The sequence below is a fragment of the Homo sapiens genome, chromosome 7 (genome assembly GCF_000001405.40).
Source record: "Homo sapiens chromosome 7, GRCh38.p14 Primary Assembly".
In the NCBI taxonomy this organism is placed as follows: Eukaryota; Metazoa; Chordata; class Mammalia; order Primates; family Hominidae; genus Homo; species Homo sapiens.
The window spans coordinates 111,735,821-111,756,726 of record NC_000007.14 but is presented as its reverse complement, the minus strand read 5'-3'; the positions used below and the strand labels follow the sequence as shown (position 1 = coordinate 111,756,726).

At 41.4% G+C, this 20,906-nt stretch overlaps 1 protein-coding gene across 14 annotated transcripts in view, besides 1 other annotated feature; it reads left to right on the top strand.

Moving 5' to 3' along the window:
- DOCK4 (dedicator of cytokinesis 4) overlaps window positions 1-20,906 on the top strand; it is a 480,290-nt gene that overhangs the window by 449,673 nt on the left and 9,711 nt on the right. For 10 of the 14 annotated variants that reach the window (NM_014705.4, XM_006716189.3, NM_001363540.2 and 7 more), the window contains 9 exons: window positions 1,126-1,212; window positions 9,284-9,460; window positions 10,310-10,393; window positions 14,595-14,714; window positions 15,066-15,187; window positions 15,513-15,633; window positions 17,250-17,331; window positions 17,484-17,593; window positions 19,738-19,810. In NM_014705.4, the coding sequence (NP_055520.3) occupies window positions 1,126-1,212; window positions 9,284-9,460; window positions 10,310-10,393; window positions 14,595-14,714; window positions 15,066-15,187; window positions 15,513-15,633; window positions 17,250-17,331; window positions 17,484-17,593; window positions 19,738-19,810 (976 nt within the window). The remainder of the gene's footprint in view (window positions 1-1,125; window positions 1,213-9,283; window positions 9,461-10,309; window positions 10,394-14,594; window positions 14,715-15,065; window positions 15,188-15,512; window positions 15,634-17,249; window positions 17,332-17,483; window positions 17,594-19,737; window positions 19,811-20,906) is intronic. The other 4 variants (XM_047421081.1, XM_017012825.2, XM_017012821.2 and 1 more) reach the window with 1 other exon arrangement.
- Window positions 13,207-13,848: an enhancer, noted in NCBI's record as "NANOG hESC enhancer chr7:111382935-111383576 (GRCh37/hg19 assembly coordinates)". NCBI's record gives its function as "activates a minimal SCP1, AML or CMV promoter by ChIP-STARR-seq in naive H9 embryonic stem cells {active_cell/tissue: H9 hESC(naive)}" and the evidence as "EXISTENCE:reporter gene assay evidence [ECO:0000049][PMID:30033119]".

Genomic DNA, 20,906 nt, shown 5'->3' with positions numbered 1-20,906 from the left:
GAATTTTGTAAAGTGTATTATCCTCTTGGGAATACACTTGGTTTAAGTAAGAAAGATGAGGCGTAGATACTAAAACCTGGTTGACAAAAAAGAAACGTGTCATCAACAGCAGCTCATACCAAAGGCAGCATGGTTTCACATGTCCTGGGGTTGCTCGTCCCGGCCAGAGGAAGCCCTGGCTCTAAAATACAGATTTGCCTCTATTAACAGCAGTTCAAACAAGCACAAGAAAATGTGGCACAGTAGATTTAGCAACTGACAAGGAGTCAGAGGTCCTAGTGGGTAGGTTCTAATGCTGGCTCTATCGGTAGTGTAGCTTTTGAGCAAGTCACATTGCTGCTTTAAGACCTAGTGTCTTCAAAAAAAAATAATTTTTTTGAGAAGGAGTCTCGCCCTGTCGCCCAGGCTGGAGTGCAGTGGGGCGATCTCGGCTTACTGCAAGCTCCACCTCCCAAGTTCACGCCATTCTTCTGCCTCAGCCTCCCAAGTAGCTGGGACTACAGGTGCCCGCCACCATGCCCGGCTAATTTTTTTGTATTTTTAGCAGAGACGCGGTTTCACCATATTATCCAGGATGGTCTTGATCTCCTGACCTCATGATCTGCCTGCCTTGGCCTCCCAAAGTGCTGGGATTACAGGCGTGAGCCACCGTGCCCGGCTGTGTCCTCATCCTTAACATAGATCATGCTGTGTGGTTCCTAAAGCCTTTGCTTCCCTTAGGACTCTGTTGTTCTAATTCTACGTTGACAGGCTGATACATTGACTGGCTGACCCTTCTGGATATAAGTGGTTAGATGTTAAGGAGTGAAGAGAGTTTGAATTAGAATCTTGGAGAAGTAGCAAAGAAAATAACATGATAGCCTATTTTTGTATTTTTAAGCTTGCTGTTTGAAGTAGGAGCTCATTTATTCCACATGGAAAAAAGTTTGATGACATACAGTGGAATTGTTAAAATCAGCTTCAGCAATCTCTCACTGTGATAGTTTCATGAGTGCTTGAATGAAGACTAAAGAAAGGCTGACAGGAATAAGCAAAGCCTGGTAACAGTGACCGACAAACACTAGTCATGGAAGTAGCTAGAAAGAAGGGCAACTTGGGAGACTTAATGTGTTTTGTGTTTTGTAGAGTCTCTGGGTGGAGAGAACGTCATTATACTTGGTGCAGAGTTTGCCTGGCATCTCTCGCTGGTTTGAAGTGGAAAAGCGTGAAGTGGTAAGGATCAGAGCTTGTTCTCAAGCACTTTCTCATCACAGTTGTTCACTTGGAGTTGTGCCGTATATTCATTACTTCTCCTTCGACCCAGATTCTCTGGAAGCACTCATAGTAAAATAGTGAATGTTTATGGTCTTGACCGCTATTACCAAGGCTGAGAAGGTGAATATTAATATTATCCTAATGTGTCCAGATGGAGGGATTCCTTGAAAACAACTCAATTTGCTACATGTAAAAAAACTATTCAGGCCCTTGAGTTAGAAGACTTGGAATTCCAGCTCTCCTAATTACTATAGCTGTGTGACCTTCAGTGCTTAGTGTATCATACCAGTGCTAATACTACCTGCTTTATCTTATTTAATCATCATATCAAAGCTATGAGGTATATATTCTTATTCCTGTTTTTGCAATTTTTGACAAGAGGTCAAAAGCCTTTGCCAAAGATCACATAGCAAGATGTTGAAGAGAGACTCCAACCCAGATATTTCTGATTCCAAAGCCAATTATATTACTCTCTTCTAGCAGTAGGTTTCTTACAGGCTGAAGGAGGCTAATGTCAAGTCTCTGCACAGTGCCCGATGCACAGTAAGTCCGTGTTGTTACAGTTCCCAGTAGAAAGGATGGCAGCGTATTAGTCTCACTGAGCAGTCCTGGGTGGAGCACCCACTGTAGATCAGTGGGTGCCACTGTAGAACCTGGTAACCACAGCTCCCAAGAACCCTCCGGTTGTAAAATGTGACCCCAGCTCCAGGCCCCAGTTGTGGACAGCAGGGAGAGCAGCAGCTGAAGGCAGCCACATCCAGGGTGGGACCCCACCCAGCTGTCTGTGCTGTTCTTCCAGCGACAGCACCTCGATGTCAGCCATAGCCCTGCAGTCTCACAGCCTCCCTTGCTACATCCATTATAGCCATTTATTAACTTTATTTCACTTAGTGTGAATGTTCATTTGTTTCACTGCAGAAATAATAATGTGTTTGTTTTTGAGCCTGGGTCTCACCCTTTCATTGCCATAGTTCTCTGATAGGAAGTGTGCCAATTGTGCAAATATAATGTAATTCATACCTTATTTAGGTCACAAGCCTATTCTGTCAATCCAGAAGAAAGAACAGCTCCTGACCAAATTGTTTTTCAAGAATTGTTTGTCTTACCTGAAATGTCTCAGCATTGAAACTACTCTCGGCCTATCATGTTCAATTAAGCTAAGGATTTAAAAGTTAAAATTGAACTCTATTCAGCAGATTACATCAGTGCAGTTGTATTCTTGTCCAGTCTGAGGTCCAGAGTCCCCAAAAGCTGGCTGCTTACATGTTGTGCCCTGGTACCTTCCATGGAAGTGGGGAGACTGCTAAACGCAGTGCTCAAAAAGTCTTATTATGCTTCCCGCTGAATGGCATGGGTCCAACTTGTAGAAGTGTTTTTAGTCATCCATGCTGCATTAATGATTCAGAGAGCCTTTAGCTACTTACTACCCAGAGCATTAAATCCTGTGAAGTCTCATCAATGGTCCTAGCCCTTGGAAATGTCATATACACATACAATGCTAATAAAAAATAGCATGCTGATAATGATAAAAGGAGCATTACTAAACACAACCTTTCAAACATCAGCTGCCTACTTTATTAGAATATGTAATCTTATGTTCTGTCAAATGGAACAAATCAAATTCAGCTGTTTTGTTCCCTGAACACAGCCCACTCTTAACAGCTTTTGTGTTTTTCTCTTGTTCTTGCTGCCTAGAATGTCCTCACTGTCGATTAAAGCTATTGGTTTCCTGGTTTAACTCCTAGTGTAGAAGGTCTTCAAGAACAGGGACAGGTAGTAGGTGCTCAATACAAATACATCACGTTGAATTGAAATTCCTCATCTGCAGATGTCAGCATCTGAAAACCAAGAGATGTTTTCATTTGTTCGGCTCCAAAGCTCATTTGCTAATAATACACCCAACCTTTTCTAATGCAAGTCCATTTATTAACTTTATTTCACTTAGTGTGAATGTTCATGTGTTTCACTGTAGAAATATTATATTTCCTTTTTGTTTTTGAGACTGGGTCTTGCTCTGTCACCCAGGCTGGAGTGCAGTGATATGATCATGGCTCACTGCAGCCTTGACCTCCCGGGCTCAAGTGATCCTCCCACCTCAGCCTCCCAAGTAGCTGGGACCACAAGCATGTGCCATCACAACTGGCTAATTTTCTGATTTGTTGTAGAGATGAGGTGTCACGATGTTGCTCAGGCTAGTCTTGAGCTCCTGGGCTGAAACAGTCCTCTAGCCTTTGTCTCCCAAAGTGCTGGGATTACAGGCATAAACCACCATGCCCAGCCTTATTAATGTAATGCATTTGATTAAAGGAACCTGCCCTAGATCCTGCTAGGGGTTACATAATATACCATATATGGCCCTATACTGCCTTTCTAAAATCTGAAAAGTTCTTCATTCTGAAACATGTGGCACCAAAGGTTTCAGATGAAATTGGGGACCTTTATTTTCTAAATCACAGACCCCCCCCCCAATAGCTTATCAACTTTTGTTAAGATATCAATGCCTTTGAACTATTGTTTCCTCTGTAGTTTATTATTTTCAAAACCCAAAAAAAGTGTTTTTGTCCTGATTAAAAAATTAGCTCATTTCAGCTGGGTGCCATGGCTCACCTGTAATCCCAGCACTTCGGGAGGCTGAGACAGGTGTATCACCTGAGGTCAGGAATTCAAGACCAGCCTAACCAACATGGTGAAACCCCGTCTGTACTAAAAATACAAAAAAGTAGCCGGGCATGGTGGCACGCACCTGTAGTCCCAGCTACTTGGGAGGCTGAGGCAGGAGAATCGCTTGAACCGGGGAGGCAGAGGTTGCAGTGAGCTGAGATCACACCACTGCACTCCAGCCTGGGCAACAAGAGCAAACCTCTGTCTCAAAAAAAAAAAAAAAAAAAAAAAAACCTAAGCTGATTAAAAAATTTTTAATCAAGACAAACATTTATAGTTTAGAATCCATAAATGATTTTTTAAAAATCCAACTAAAGATTACGAGAATATTTTCATACCACATCCTGCCCATCAGAAAACAATGTGCCTCTTTCTAAATACTGTATACCCAGAATCTAACCACTCCTCAGCGCCCCCACCGATAGCGCCACCTAGTGCCTGATTACTGCAGTAGCCTCCTAAAAGATTTGCTTTCCCCCTTATCCCTGTAGTCTCCTCTGTACATGGCAGCCAGTGACCTTTTTAAACTTAAGTTATAGCATACAAAAATAGAGAAAATGTATAATGATATAATGAGCCTGACTTACCCATCATTGCTTCAACAGCCATCAAGCCAATTTTGTTTCATCTACATGTCTACCTGCTCCCTCTCAACTGGACTATTTTTGAAGTAAATCTCAGATGTCATATCACTTCATCTACAAATATTTTAGTATTCATATTTATTTTTAAAAACCTGAAATATTGTCACATTAAAAATTAACAATAATTACTTGATCATAAAATGTACAGTGTTCATTCCACACTTTACCAAGTCTTTTATTCTGCATTTTAGACCAGCCTGGGCAATGTAGTAAGACACCGTCTAAACAGAAAATTTAAAAAATTAGTCAGCATGGTGGCATATGTCTGCAGTCCTAGCAACCTCCTACTCCAGAAGTTGAGGCCAGAAGATCACTGGAGCCCAGGAGTTTGAGGTTACAGTGAACTATGATCATACCACTGTACTCTAGCCTCGGTGACAGTCTCAACCCTCTTTTTTAAAAAAAAAAAATTATATATTTTTAGGCCAGGCATGGCGGCTCATACCTGTAATCCCAACACTTTGGGAGGCCAGGGCAGGCAGATCACTTGAGGTCAGGAGTTCAAGACCAGCCTGGCCAATATGGCAAAACCCTGTCGCTACAAAAAATACAAAAAGTAGCTGGGCATGGTGGATCACGCCTGTAATCCCAGCTTCTCAGGAGGCTGAAGCAGGAGAATTGCTTGAACCCAGAAGGTGGAGGTTGCAGTGAGCCAAGATTGCACCACTGCACTCCAGCCTGGGCAACAGAACAAGTGAGACTGTCTCAAAACAGAAAAAAAAAAAATATTTTTACTCTATTATTCGAATCCAGATTTAAATAAGGGCCATGCATTGCAATTGATTGAAATGTCTTCTAAGTCTCTTTCAATCTGTAAGTTTCCCCTTGCATCACTTTCCTTATTTTTTTATTGAAGAAACTAAAGACTGTTTATCCTGAAATGTTTCCGTATGTGTGGATTCTGCAGACTGCATCCCAGTGAAGTCATATAACATGTTTCTCTGTCACCTGTATTCCTTGTAAATTGGTAGTTAGAACTAGAGACTTGATAAAATGTTTGCTTTTATTTTCACAAGACTACTTCATACTTGGTGTTATGTGCTACTGGTTGTCGTGTGTGTGTGTGATGTTGGCAGCCACTGGTGATCATTGACCAGATCCATTAATCTTTTATGGGTTGCAAAATGGTGATATTTTATTTCATGTTTATTTACTCATTGGAATACTCTGTAAAGAGAAATGTCCTCTCACTAAATATTTGATTACCCTGAGGTACAGGAAAGATAATGCTGTATTCTACAAAAGCGACTGGAGGGGTTTTTGTTTGGTTGGTTTTTGGATCATTAGTAACTCATGGATATAAGTATATTTGTTTTGTTTTAATCCATGGCAGTTATTAAATTTAAAAATGTTCCATCTTTGCCTGTTGGGAGCATCTTCAAAATGGCTCCTGAGTCTGTTTTCACAGTATCCAAGTAGTGTTTGTTACTGAGCTAACACACAGGATCTGATTGTCAAGTTCGATGCAGGACTCAGCGACCCCTCCCAGCATCAAGCTTTACTAGTAATTTCAAGGCAGGCAGGATGCTCAGATAAAGCAGCGAGATTTCTGAGACATTACACATCGTCTGCTAGGTCCTTCTTCCCCACATCAGTAATAATTCAGAATTATAGGTGGAGTCCCTGAGGTTCACAGGGTTCCTCATTCAGAAGCACGTTTAAATTATGAAGTGTCGATTATGAAACATTCCATTTTCTACTCCAGAGAGTTAGTTGTAAAGCTTCTCAGGGACATTCTGTAATCATGCCTCATGGATTCTGGTTTATTTATTTACTTAAAGAAATCCTTTGACTGGGGACTTTAGGGCATTCTGTAGATAACATCTCTTCCTCCTAGCAATTACTTTTAGTCTGTTTACTTGAAGGTTCAATTGACAAAGAGATAAGACATAGTCACCTGTCTTTTCTGTCCCTTAAGGACATTCCCCAGTAAAGAAAATGAATGGATCACAGGCCAGATACTTTCATGTTTTCCTCCCATCCTTACCTTTACCATCCTTCCTGGTAAGACGAGGTGGTCTAGGATCACTTGAACATCTCCTGCCCCAGACCTGAAAGCAGCTATTTCTCCAATGACTCCTTATTCATTTTAGTGGTGAACAATATTTAGAGATTGTAATCTGAAGGATAGAGGAAAGTAATTCTTGGTGAACACTCTATCACATATCTTTGCACACTTCTTTGACCGTCCCCTTATATTTCCCTAGAAGTGAATTAATCAAAAGTATCCCCACTGTAACCACTGATTCATGGCTCAGCAATGGGATATATCGTTTACACCCTGTCTAGAGGGGATAACTAGTCTTAGGAATACTTATTTCCCCAGCATCTTCTCCAACACTAAGTGTTGTATATTTTAATCTTTCCAAATAATAGACCAAAATTATACTGGGGTTGGATGTTTTGTTTCAGCATTTTTTGAATGCTAAGTGAAGATATGTTTTCATATATTGATGAACTCTATACCAATCATATCCTTTGCCCCTTTTCTTCAGTATTTGGCAAATATTAACATTTTATCTATCCTTCATGTTGGAAATATTTTCCAAGTCGTTTGTATTTTGCCTGTGTTTATTATGTCTTGTTTTATTTACTTTTAGAAAATTTGATTTTTAATAGCATTTGAATTTATAAAGATGAAGATTGCTTTTTTCTTATAGCCAAAAGCACATAAAACCTACTATTGTAACCATTTTTATGTGTGCAGTATGGTAGTGTTAACTATATATACATTGTTGTGCAACAGATGTCTAGAAGTTTTTCATCTTGGAAAACTCAAACTCGATATTCACTGAACAGAAGTTCTCCTCTCCCCTTTCCCCTAGACCCTGGGAACCACCATTCTATGTTCTAAGATGTTTTGCTTACTTTTTAACTTTCAGTTACTCAGAGCTCTCAGACTTTTCCTTTATGGTTTAGGTTTTGTGTACATAAAACAAAGGTTTAGTGTTACAAATAATCTGAAAGTAAATACCCGTTTTCCACCATTCAGGTAAAGAAACAGAACATTGCCAGCAGTATCCTGCAGGCCTCCTGTGCACCTCTTCTCAATTATAGCTCCATCTTCACCATAAAAGTAGTCACTATCCTGACTTCTATGGTATCCATTCCCTTGCTTAGTGTATCACCTATTTGCCTCTCTAAACAAGTCGATTTGGTTTTACCTGGTTTTGAACGTTATATAACATACTACTTGTGTTCTATTGAGACATATTTGACTCAGTGTTGTGTGTAATATTTTTCCATGTTATTGCATGTGATTGAAGTTTGTTTCATTGCTGTATACTATTCCATTCCATGAACATATCACAATATGTTTATTCTCTTGTCAATGGACATACGGATTTTGGAGATTATGAACATTTTTGTACATGTTTCCTGGTACACGTGCACAAACCTCCTACCCCACTTTTCCTTATATGCCTAGAATTTCTGAATCGATATACACACACACACACATGTATATATATCTTCAACTGTTTTTCCAAAGTGAATGAACCAACTTGAACTTCCAGTAGCAGTAATTGAGAGTCCGTTGCTCACAGTCTCACTCTCATCTGCTGTTGTCATTTTTACCATTTCAGTGGGTGTTTAGTAGTATGTTATTGTAGCAGTATTTTTCACATCTTTGATCACAAATGAGGCCCAACACCTTTTCATTATTTGTTTACTGGCCATTTGAATGTATTCCTTTGTAAGTGGTTGTTTAATTCATTTGCTCATTTTTTATTGGGTCGTTTGCCTTTTTCTTCCTGGTTTTTAAGAATCCTTATATACCCTGAACACGTGCTTTTTGATGGTTACACATGTTACAAAATCTTCTATGTTCTTGCTTATCTTCCCTTCTCTTTGTCTTTGATGAATGTTCAGTCTTCATATTCTAGGATTTTTCAGTGTTGGTTTAAGATGATCCAAGTGACCTTTAAAAACTCTAATTTGTTTCCTTGCCTGAATGAACCAATATTTAAATATGCTAATTGTAGTCCTGAATTACTTGATTGCTGAGAGCTTGGCAGACCTTCTCTTCAAGGCAATAGCAGTCCCAATGACATACATTTGAAGAGCACTTTTATCATTTTCACAATTAGGTCCTCCATACAGCCTGGAATTTTTAAGTCATTATGATTCTATTTGGCTCTCCAACAAATAGATCCTGCAGTATATATTATCTTGTTTTCTATAATTCCCAACTGTGTGCCATCCTGTGCCACCTTATGGTGCTGTTATATATATATATGAGGTTCATGTGGCATATGTCCCATCTTCCCAACTGGGCTGAAAGCTCCTTGACATCAGAGGATCCATAAATGCATCTTTATATCTCCCATGGTGCTTTGTATCAAATAAGCATGAGAAAGGGGATAATATTCAGGGTCTCTGAATATTTAACCCTTCAAAAGAAAAAAAAAACTAGTTTTAAAAGACATGAGATGCTTGGATATTATTTTAAGGATTAAATTGGTTGTTGCAGTGCTAATGTAGAATTGATGATTATCCAAACCACATTTCAATGAATAAGTATAATTACCTGCCCTTTCCAAACCTTGCTAATGAACATCCCACTTGACTTCCACATCCTTGTCTATTCTACGGAATGGCCCCTGGTAGAGATATTGATGGAAGCCAAGGGGGAGCACAGATAATTCAGAACATGGATAAACTACTTTGTCTTTCTTCTTGAATGTCACAAATTCAATATATATTTATGTTCATTTGCTTCTCAGGTAGAAATGAGTCCTCTGGAAAATGCAATTGAAGTGCTAGAAAATAAGAATCAGCAGCTGAAGACTCTGATTAGTCAGTGTCAGACAAGACAGATGCAGAATATTAATCCCCTGACTATGTGCCTGAATGGAGTTATAGATGCTGCAGTTAATGGTGGCGTTTCCAGGTATCAAGAGGTAAGGATTAGGTATTGTTGTTTCAGAGAAAGTTTTCAATTGTGACTTCTTAGGGTTTCATGAATCTTTTTTCAGACTATGTACCCATATCAGCACGCAAACATAGGGCTGCGATTGACACAGAGTCCTTTGTTAAATAGAGCAAACATACAGTCATTTGTAATTGCCCAGTAACTCCATTTTCCCAACATGTTATATTTGGATAATAAAAATGTGTGTGTGTGTGTTCATTCTTGCATGAATAAAAGTAGAAAGGACATTAGGACTGTTTAATAAATATCCGTCTAAAATAATTTCTCTAAGCAAAGAAGTTCATGGGCATAGAAAAGTCTGATCTGGGCTGGGCTCAGTGGCTCACACCTGTAATCCCAGCACTTTGGTTTGAGACCAGCTTGAGCAACATAGGAAGATCTTATCTCTTATTTAAAAAAAAAAAAAAAAAAAAAAAAAAAGATAAGACCGATCTTGCTTAGATGATACTTTAAGTGGACCTTTCATCTGCTCTCTTAAACAGAAAGATATAATACCCTGGAAGGTAAGGCCACCATCTAGGTCACACTGAATCTTAAGGCAGTTTGTTTTAGGATACAAGCCATATAGCTTACTGATTTGGGCTTGTTCTTTATTTTAGCAAGGGTACTTATTGTACAATCACTGATCTTCCTTTAACAATTCTTTCCTTATGTTCCCATTCTGACCAACCACCTACACTAGTAATCAGCCCATCTGTCCCAAAATGTGGTTTGTAATGGTGTCATTTCCATAAAGATGCCAGGTCTTTAAAAACAACTTGTCTTTGACTTGCCTTGTACTCCACTAAAGTAGACTGATTCTCCTTTCCCTTACTAGGCATTCTTTGTCAAAGAATATATCTTAAGTCACCCTGAAGATGGGGAGAAAATTGCACGATTAAGAGAGCTGATGCTTGAGCAGGTAAGGGAAGCAGAAGCCAACCCCCTTCTATTTTGCCTGGATATGTGCTTGCTTACCTAGAGCCCCCTCTGCATGGTTTCCTGCATCAGTGGTCTAACAGAAGCTGGCAAGCAAGGGTGACAGATTCCTGTAATATATCCCAGCTTGCTAATTTCTACTTCTTCTTCCCACTCCGATGCAAAAATTAATTTAACAATGAGTAGACTATGGCAGCCAGTTACAGGTTGAGTATCCTTTATCCAAAATACTTGGGACCATAAGTGTTTCAGATTTTGAAATATTTGCATATACATAAGAGATATCTTGGGGGAGGGACCCAAGTCAAATAACAAAATTTATTATTTCATATATATCTTATACACATAGCCTGAAGGTCATTTTATATAATATTTTAATAATTTTGTGCATGAAGTTTCGACTGCAACCCATCACGTGAGGTTGGGTGTGGAATTTTCCACTTGTGGGATGTTGGCATTCAAAAGGCTTCAAATTTTGGAGGATTTCTGATTTTCAGTTTTTGTATTAGGGATGTTCAACCTGTGAAACAAACAACTTCATGTGGTCTCTTAAAACATTCTTTGAATGTTCTCTTCCTAGAGACTTGCTGTAGGCTTGATGCCAACTTTTTTTTTTTTTTTTTTTTTTTTTTTAAGACGGAGTCTCCCTCTGTCACCCAGGCTGGAGTGCAGTGGCATGATCTCTGCTCACTGCAAGCTCCGCCTCCTGGGTTCACGCCATTCTCCTGCCTCAGCCTCCCAAGTAGCTGGGACCACAAGTGCCCGCCACCACACCTGGCTAATTTTTTTTGCATTTTTAGTAGAGACGGGGTTTCACTGTGTTAGCCAGGATGGTCTCGATCTCCTGACCTTGTGATCCACCCGCCTCAGCCTCCCAAAGTGCTGGGATTACAGGCGTGAGCCACCGCGCCTGGCCGATGCCAACTTTTCACTCAAAATTCTGTGCTCAGAAAAGTTCAGGCCAACTCCAAATATGAGGCATGAATGAAATTTTTACTTAAGCATTGTAATAAGGAAGTGGGCAATCAGTAGATCTTGCTTTAAAGCAGTGTCATATTTTGCAAAGTAAACCTATAGGTTACATGATATGGACAAAACTACATACAACTCATCATTTTCTACCCCCAGAGAAGCGTGGTTTATTTATTTGGAACCATCAAGTACAAAGAACTGGAATGAGTAATCTGTTGCCTACTGTGTCCCTATTGATAGCCTGAAATGGTTTGAAAACCTCTGAGGTAGGAGACATGGTTGGAAGCCTGTGTTAAACAGGAAATAAAGACATTTGCTTCCTGTGAAAAGTGGAATATGTGTGATGAAACATGACAAAGGCATTTCTTTCTACCCAATAATGCCAAATTAATAAGTAAAGCATGCTCTTTGGATTAGAAAATGAGGTCGTGTCTGGTTTTCATCCATCTTTTATGCTCTGTAGGCTTAGTCCACAAAACCTAATACTACAGGGAGAGAGGTGGCCACAGAAGAGAGAGAAGAATTACTTGAAGCTGATCTGTAAGGAAATAAAGAATAAGTCAAGTTCTCAATGTGACTCTGGGTGTTTGTAGATACTAGAAGTGAGCAGTTGAGGTCATCCATTACTTAGGATTATGCAATGACTTTAACCTTCATTGATTTTTAAAGATCTGTGTTTTACCTCTTATGAATGGTTCACTCCACCCCAGGACTGTATCTGCTGGATTCAGCCTGACTGAATTATTTCCCCAGAATTAAATGGTAGCTCAGGGTCAAGAAGACTGCCAAGAAAAATAAAACCAGGGAACCTTTATTTCTTCTACGTCCTGCTTATGTTCCTGAAACCTTGTGGAAAGAGCCATGGCCTAGAAAATGTGAGATCTCTGTTATAAGACAAGCAGTGCACGTGACTGTCAATGTGCCCTTGGCCAAGTCTCATCATCTCTGTGGGGAGGTGGACTGGAGAGGGCACCATCCTTCTCTGGACCTCTGCAAAGTAGTTCAGATAAACTCTCTAGAGGACAGAGACATGCACCACCCCAGTGCTCCTTCCAGGACAGACTTACTCTGCCTCAGCTGCAGGAAATGTGGCTCTCAACAGACATCTCCAGCTGTCAGGCCCTTCAGGGATTGCCTCCACTGCAGAGAGCCACTTGGCCCAAGGTTGCTACCTTCTCAGTGGTGCACATCCCATACTGAGGAAGCAATAGAAAGCCTGGCCATTTGGGACCAACACAGGACAACTTTGACAGACCATTAAAGGTCCAGAGGTTGAGGTAGGAGTATCATCTGACACCAGGAGTTCAAGACTAGCCTGGGCAACATAGCAAGACCCCATCTCTACAAAAACCTAAAAACTAGCTGGGTGTGGTGGTGCATGCCTGTAGGCCCAGCTACTTGGGAGGCTGAGGTGGGAGGATCACCTTAGCCCAGGAGTTCGAGGTTGCAGTGAGCTATGATCACACCACTGCATTCCTTCCTGGGCAGCAGAGTGAGACTCTGTCTCTAAAAAGATTAAAATACAGATAAATTTTTAAGAACATTCCAGAGGTCCCTTGGGTTTGGCAGTAGCTGACAGGACTGCTGTGCAGCTCAACTTCTTTTCTTGTCAAGTCCGGCTTCTGTCCCTCCCCCTGACAGGCATCAATCCCAAGGTACACCCTGATAAACATTATGAAATCCATGCTGGAGTCTACTTCCCAGAGAACCCAACTTGCAACATTCTGTGAACAAAAGGGAAGTCACCCAACGCTAGTGTTTAAAATGGAGAAGACTGGGGGCCTCTGCGTTTAGATCCACCTCCTACATCCCTTCCATGTCCTCATCACAGATGTAGCCTCTCCCTTTATGCCTCATACACACTGCACTCCAAGTGTGCCTTTCAAAGGCATCCTTGATATTTGTTATGCAAATATGCTGGCAGTGGGCAGCATCCAGAGCCCCGTCCCTTAGGGAAGGTGCTGGATGCCCCAACCCGCCAGGGTCAGTCCTGTTTGACCTGAGCTTTCAACCTAAAATCTTCACGAGCTGCAAAGATTAAAAATAGCAACAATAACAACAAAACCTTGTGGTGATATAGGATTCGTTTTCCTCCCAGTCTATGGAATTTGTCCTTTTGACCATGTTAGCATGGGGGGCATTTTTAAAATACAAAAGACAGCTGCTGCTCGAATCAAAGGAATCACACACTGTTGATGGTTGCACAAAGGAAGGTTGAATGTTTACCTTCATCTCTTCGGATCCTCACTGCAGGAAAGTTTTTTAAGTAGGACCTGCTCTCTCGTTGAATTATAAGTGAATATGAATAATGTTTTTTGGGATTTTTTTCTTTTTTCTTTTTTTTTTCTTTTTGGAGACAGAGTCTAGCTCTGTCACCTAGGCTGAAATGCAGTGGCATGATCTTGGCTCACTACAACCTCCACCTCCCGGATTCAAGCAATCCTCCTGCCTCAGCCACTCGAGTAGTTGGAACTACAGGCACGTGCCACCACACCTGGCTAATTTTTGTATTTTTAGTAGAGACAGCGTTTCACTGTGTTGTCCAGGCTGGTCTTGAACTCCTGACCTTGTGATCAACCCGCCTTGGCCTCCCAAAGTGCTGGGATTACAGGCGTGAGCCACCGCGCCTGGCCAGGAATAATCTTTTTAAACAAAAACAAGAAGCATGGAAACTGTCATAGAATTCCTTTTTGTTTTGTTTTTTCCATCCTCCCTGGCAGATTCTGAAAGTCTGTGGGAGGGATGGATGAGCACAGAGGAACCTAGTGGGAGAGGGAAATGTGGGGGGAGAGGGTGCCATGCAAAGAAGAGATCTTTAAGGGAGAATTGCCGGCCCTCTTAACAGTGAGCAGCACATGCCCCTATTCCTTCTCCACCCTGGGGAGAGAAGGAAGGGGCCAAAAGGACACATAACTGTTACGAGGCATTATAATTATAGATCTAAAATACATGGGAAAGAAGCCTGGGGGAGTAGGAAAATTAAGTCTGAAATCAGAACCAAGTTCTAATCCCCATTTGTCTTTTATCCATGCAGGATTTTTCAGATCCTCAGTTTTTCTTCACCTGTAAAGTGACAGCTGTTCCTACCTTGTCAGAGGCAGAGGATTAGCAATAATGCAAGCGAAATGCGTAGTAAAGTGCTCGGCCCATAGCAGGCACTTAGTGAGAGGTAGTCATTGATGTGAGGTTTTTTCCTTATGTTGTGAATTAAGGCACAGATTCTGGAATTTGGTTTGGCCGTGCATGAGAAGTTTGTACCTCAAGATATGAGACCCCTTCACAAAAAGCTGGTTGACCAATTCTTTGTGATGAAGTCGAGCTTAGGGATACAGGTATGTATACTTAGGTGTCCATGGCGGGGCAGCCTGATCACTGCCGTTTGCTTGTTAAAGGGATGATGATGTATCCAATAGTGACATCTTGTGGTTTTTCTACCAAACTGCACTGTTTTACCAGGGAGCCCTCAAATACAATTGCCTTGTCTGCTATTTGCGAGGCTTTCCTTTTGGGAAAACACAAATGTAAGTGAGGGAAAGCCAAATAATACTGGAACTTGCTTTAATAGCTCCCTATGTGAAGACTTGATGGCAATTAGGATGTGTGCCTAGTATGCTAACCTGTCTCATAAGTTATTTTGCCCAAATCATTACTGTAATGAGATATTTCCTTTACTACATCTTTAGGAGTTCTCTGCTTGTATGCAAGCCAGTCCTGTCCATTTTCCTAATGGAAGCCCTCGTGTGTGTAGAAACTCAGCACCTGCTTCTGTGAGCCCAGATGGTACCAGGGTAATTCCTAGACGCAGGTAAGTCATATTCCAAATTATCTTACAATTTGGCCTCACCCGCAAGCTGATCTGGAATGGTTCTCTCATTCTTTATGGCACAATTTGTCAAATACGCTATTTCTTAATGAAATAACTAACCCGCGAGGCAGCTGCAGACCTCTGCCACCAGTAAAACAGCAACAGCATGAGAAATAAATAAACTCAAACATTTGATTATATTGAGGCAAACAGGAGAAAACAAAACGGAATGTATTTTCCCCCCTTTGGTTTCATAGCATTCTAGCACATGATAAAGTACAATTTGGAGACTGAGTTAATGACCTTTTTTTTCCCCCTGAAACAGCCCGTTAAGTTACCCAGCTGTCAACCGATATTCTTCCTCCTCACTGTCCTCACAAGCTTCTGCTGAAGTAAGCAATATTACAGGGCAATCAGAAAGCTCTGATGAAGTCTTTAACATGCAGGTACTTAATTAGCTTTTTGTCTGGTTGTGTTTATTCCTTTTCTGTCTCAATCATGAGTGTTTCTGTTCATTCTGCTGTGCTGATGAACAGACCAACAAGCAAGAACTTGGCTTAAGGACAAACCTTTAAACACTCTTCTTGCTTTATGGGTCTCTAGAGTCTACAAAGACGTTTCTCTTAAAACTGCCCCATCGCTTTAAGACGACATCAGCAAGCGATGGAAAAGCCTAGGCACGCTGCACAAGGTTCAGCTCTGAGACCTGCCCCAAGTTCCTTCTGCAGTCCAGGACTCTCAGAGTGTGTTGCCACTCACTAGCTGCCTCTTAGCTTGCCTTTTTTTTTTTTTTTTTTTTTTTTTTTTTTTAGCGAGTCTCACTCTGTCTCCCAGTCTGGAGTGCAGTGGTGCGATCTTGGCTCACTGCAACCTCCGCCTCCCGGGCTCAGGCAGTTTTCGTGCCTCAGCCTCGTGAGTAGCTGGGATTACAGGTGTGTACCACCACGCCCGACTAATTTTTGTATTTTTAGTAGAGACGGGGTTTCACTATGTTGGCCAGGTTGGTCTCGAACTCCTGACCTCAAGTGATCTGCCCAATTTGGCCTCCCAAAGTGCTGGGATTACAGGCATGAGCTACTGCGCCCGGCCCCTCTTAGCATTCCAAAATGGCTTTTTTTTTCTTTAAGAAGACATGATTTGGCTAGGTGCAGTGGCTCATGCCTGTAATCCCAACACTTTGGGAGGCCGAGGTGAGCGAATCACCTTGAGATCTGGAGTTCGAGACCATCCTGGCCAGCATGGTGAAACCCCGTCTCTATCAAAAATACAAAAATTAGCCGGGCATGGTGGCGCATGCCTGTAATCCCAGCTACTCGGGAGGCTGAGGCAGGAGAATCGCTTGAACCTGGGAGGAGGAGGTTGCAGTGAGCCGAGAGCATGTCACTGCACTCCAGCCTGGGCAACAAAGCGAGACTGTGTCTCAAAGAAAAAAGAAAAAAAGACATGATTTGAGGGTCTGTTTTAAAATTATCTTTACTTATGTACATATCAGAAAGTTTCCAAAGGTATTTTTTTTATACAAGAAAAATGTAGTTTTTAGGGATTTTAGAGCCAGTATAACTCCTGCAAGCAAACATTTTATTTAAACACTACTAATATGGCATTTATGATAGTTCAGTAAGACTAAGCTGAAATTTTCCTCACCACTATCTTTGGAAAGGAGACATAACACTTATTTCCAAATTCATGCTTTGAACATACTTGTACAGATAACAAGAAGGCATATTTTATGCCTTTTAGACGCACTCGCCTGTTTTTGGGCCCTAGGCTGGAAGTCATTCTACTTATACCTCAATGAAGGAATGCACTGCTAACTGGTACGAAGTCACAGTGTATAGCTGAATCTAACACGAAGGCATTCCTTTGGCAGGAGTCAAAATCTCAGACTTTTCATTAATTCATGCAGACTTCTTTGTCAATCTAAGTTATTAAGATTTTCTATATTGTTAAACGGACTTTTTGTTGCTAATTTGAAAAAAAGTTGATGATTTTGTTTCAAATACGTCAGTGTCGTGGGAAGCCTTTAATCAGGGTATGATAATAGCTCCCTGTGTGTTTCCAGCCAAGTCCATCTACCTCAAGCTTGAGTTCTACTCACTCGGCTTCACCTAATGTGACAAGTTCTGCTCCATCGAGTGCCAGAGGTCAGTGCCAGAGTGTGGGGAAGACTGAGGGTGCCCAGAGAACCTTCTAGTCCTGGGAACTGTGGCCAGCTGCCACACGTTCAGGCTCTCGCCTCCAAACAGGTGCAGCACCACTACCATGCTGATGATCCTCTCTCTCCTTCTCTTCCCAGCTTCTCCTTTGTTGTCTGACAAACACAAACATTCCCGAGAAAACTCTTGCCTGTCACCAAGAGAGAGACCATGCAGTGCCATCTATCCAACACCTGTGGAGCCTTCGCAGGTACTCCTTGTAGGGTAGAGAAACTAGAAAACAAGGACAATTCTGGAATTGCTTACCTATCTCTGCAGAAACACGCGGTAGCTGCCAAAAGCAAGCAGCTGGGCAGTGTCAGACCAATCCAGCTGGTGAAGATTGCACCTCTGTTTTCTGCCCATGGTTAGAAATTTCTGCCTGAGCCATCTTTTTTTTTTTTTCTTTGAGACAGGATCTCGCTGTCACCCAGGCTAGAGTGCAGTGGCACAATCCTGGCTCACTGCAACCTCCACCTCCTGGGTTCAAGCAATTCTCCTGTCTCAGCCTCCCGAGTAGTTGGGATTATAGGTGCCCACCACCACACATGGCTAATTTTTGTATTTATAATAGAAATGGGGTTTTGCCATGTTGGCCAGGCTGGTCTCGAACTCCTGACCTCAGGTGATCCACCTGCCTTGGCCTCCCAAAGTGCTGGGATTACAGGCATGAGCCACCACTCCCGGCCCTGAGCCATATTTCTGATAGGGACACATGGTAGTTGCTTGGCAGTGATGCTAAAAGGGAAATGGGAAGTTTACCCTCCTTGATCTATTTCATTGCTGCTTCTTAAACATTATGCAAAGTAGTTGGGTGAATAAAGTGCCTGTGTTTGCATGCCCTGTGTATGTAACAGAAGTCTGGGGGAACCTCTTAAACTAGGAAAATACCCTTGAAGAGAAGCATTCTCCTGCCCAGCAGTCTTTGCCTTTGCCTAGACCTATTTAAAAGAGCTGCAATCGATTCCTATCTGGGTACCCATGAGTATAGGAGCAATTTGTTTGCCTTTGCCATTCTTGAATGCATGAGAAAAGAGCGGTTCAGTCCTCAGCCTTTCCCTGTCAACTGCTCATGCGAGTAAGGGAGCTTGGCCCTCACCCCCTGCCTGAACTTGGTTTTGAAGTGATCCCTGTTTTTCTGAGAGCAGAGGCTTGGGCTCAGCCCTTGGGCACTTCAGGAGCCTTGAAGGGTGGTTTCAAAGTTGAAGATTCATGGGTAGCCCTGAGTTTTAAAGATTTGGGAATAGTTTAGGAGCAGAGAAAAATAGTTATTTCTACTCCAGCTAATTTCTGTTTTTCTACACCATCCTGGCAGAAGTCTGTAGCCACATCCGGAAGTGGATGAGAGAGAGTGGGATTTGGCTTCATTGGTTTGTCTTTGCTGATTGTGTGATCCTCCCGAAAGTCCCAGGGTACCGCCTCTGCACAACGCTGATGTCTTGCAGAAATTATATCTGAGTGCATTTGGCTGGACTAGCTATTTCCCTTTGTCACTTGATGATGCTGCAAGGGAATTTCTCAGTTTGTTCTGCTCCAGGAGAACTTCTTGTCAGCATGGGCAACTCTGAAAGCCTTCTCTGATTAGCCTCCCAAGTTTTCTGGTTTTAGTAAAATTGGAAGCAGTATATATGTTGCTAAATTTCAATAGTGTGCACTGCCGTAGTACATCTACTTTTAAGGACTTGGTACCTTCTATTTAATATATTAGGTAAAACCATGTAAAACTGGCATTTTTATAAGTTAAAAATTGTAGACTATCAATTATTTCATATATTTTTTACCTAATAAATGATTTTTAACATGCAGGGGTTAAATTTCACTCACTAGTGATTTTTTGAACTAATATTTCTCCTTTAATTCTTATTTCTGTTTTATATCACCACTGTAGCATTTGTATTTACAAAGAACTCCACACAGGCCAGGTGTGGTGGCTCATGCCTGTAATCCCAGCGCTTTGGGATTGGCCAAGGTTGGAAGGACTGCTTGAGCCCAGGCATTCAAGACCAGCCTGGGCAATATAGTGAGATTCCATCTCTAAAAAGAAAAGAAAAAAAAAGAACTTCATAGCACAACTGCTATTTACTATTTATTTTTTACATTTTATTATGAACATTTACCATTTATATTTAAAATATAATACAAACTTTTCCAACACTCTTTTCTTTCTCAAAACCTAAGGCTCTTCCCACCCCCTTTTACTTAAATATAATTAAATTATTTGTTCCTAGGCTCATCATATCACACAAAAATTATTTTGAACAAAAAGTTTTACTGAGGAGATAATCGTCTCATTTTCTGAAAGGTTTCACATGCCCGTATATCACATCATAAAAATCAACCCTTGTAACTTTGCAGAGGATGCTGTTTAATCATATTGGAGACGGGGCCTTGCCACGCAGTGACCCAAATCTCTCTGCACCTGAAAAAGGTAAGGCCAGCCCCATGGTCAGTCCTGGAATGTGTAAGGGCTTGTTTTATCCTCATGTTCTCCAGTCTTCTGTGTGTCTGTGTGGAAAGCAGTGCTCTAGCTCTTTAATGATCAGGACTAGTATGCTCTTTAAGGGATTAATGAAAGACAGTTATTCATGATCATTCTTCAAAAGCTGTTTTCCTATAAGATTTTAACAGCAGAATCTGAGCAAGATAGGAACGCCTATGTTTAATGGCTTTTTGTTATCATCCAGTGAGTCACCCAGGCAATGCCTCCTCTTCCTGAAGCAAAGTTGCCAATTAGGCTCCTTGTTCAGCACAATGAAAATAGCTTCACCCGGATCGATTCGGTGGTCCCATCCTTCGTCTCCCTTACAAAGCTCATTCAGCCAACTCATGTGTTGTTTGTTGTGACTCAGATACGGCTCTTGTACAATTAAATACCATTTAAGAATTGCAATCCAGTGCATAATGGAGTGTGCCCTGCCTCAAGGTCACACAAAATGAGAACCAAACACATGGACAGCAGTAAATAGCCAATTAGGATCAGTCTGCAACACGGCAGAAGATGAAGAGCAGATTAAACACGATTTCCTCAGCTACGGGGTCGGGGCTTGCAGCAAGTCACCCATTCACCTCTCTCAGGGTCAAGCCTCAAAAATAAGAGCAGTTCCCCAGGCCAATAAATCAAGAGTCGTTAATGAAATAGTCTGGGAAAGTGCCTTTTAATTGCCCTCATTAAGAAGTAAACTATTGTCATTTGGGTACACTGCTACATTAGAACTTTCCTTGGGAGATGGAAATTAGTGAAGTCTTAGGCAAAATTATTTTAAAACACAAATTTAGCTTTAATGTTACAAGTCACATGTTCATCTTTGTCAGTAGAACTAAGGAATGTGGTATTTTTCTCACCCCTTCTACTAAAGAAAACCACGATGCAAATTTAAAAGAATAGAGAAAAAGAATTTTAAGAGTGGTAACTCCATCCCATTAAGTGAAAATGGTCGAGTGGTAAAATGTTGAAATTCTCAACATGCCCACCAGATGGCAGTGTCTGTACAGGGAGTGAGTCACTGGAACCCAGATTTGCTGTT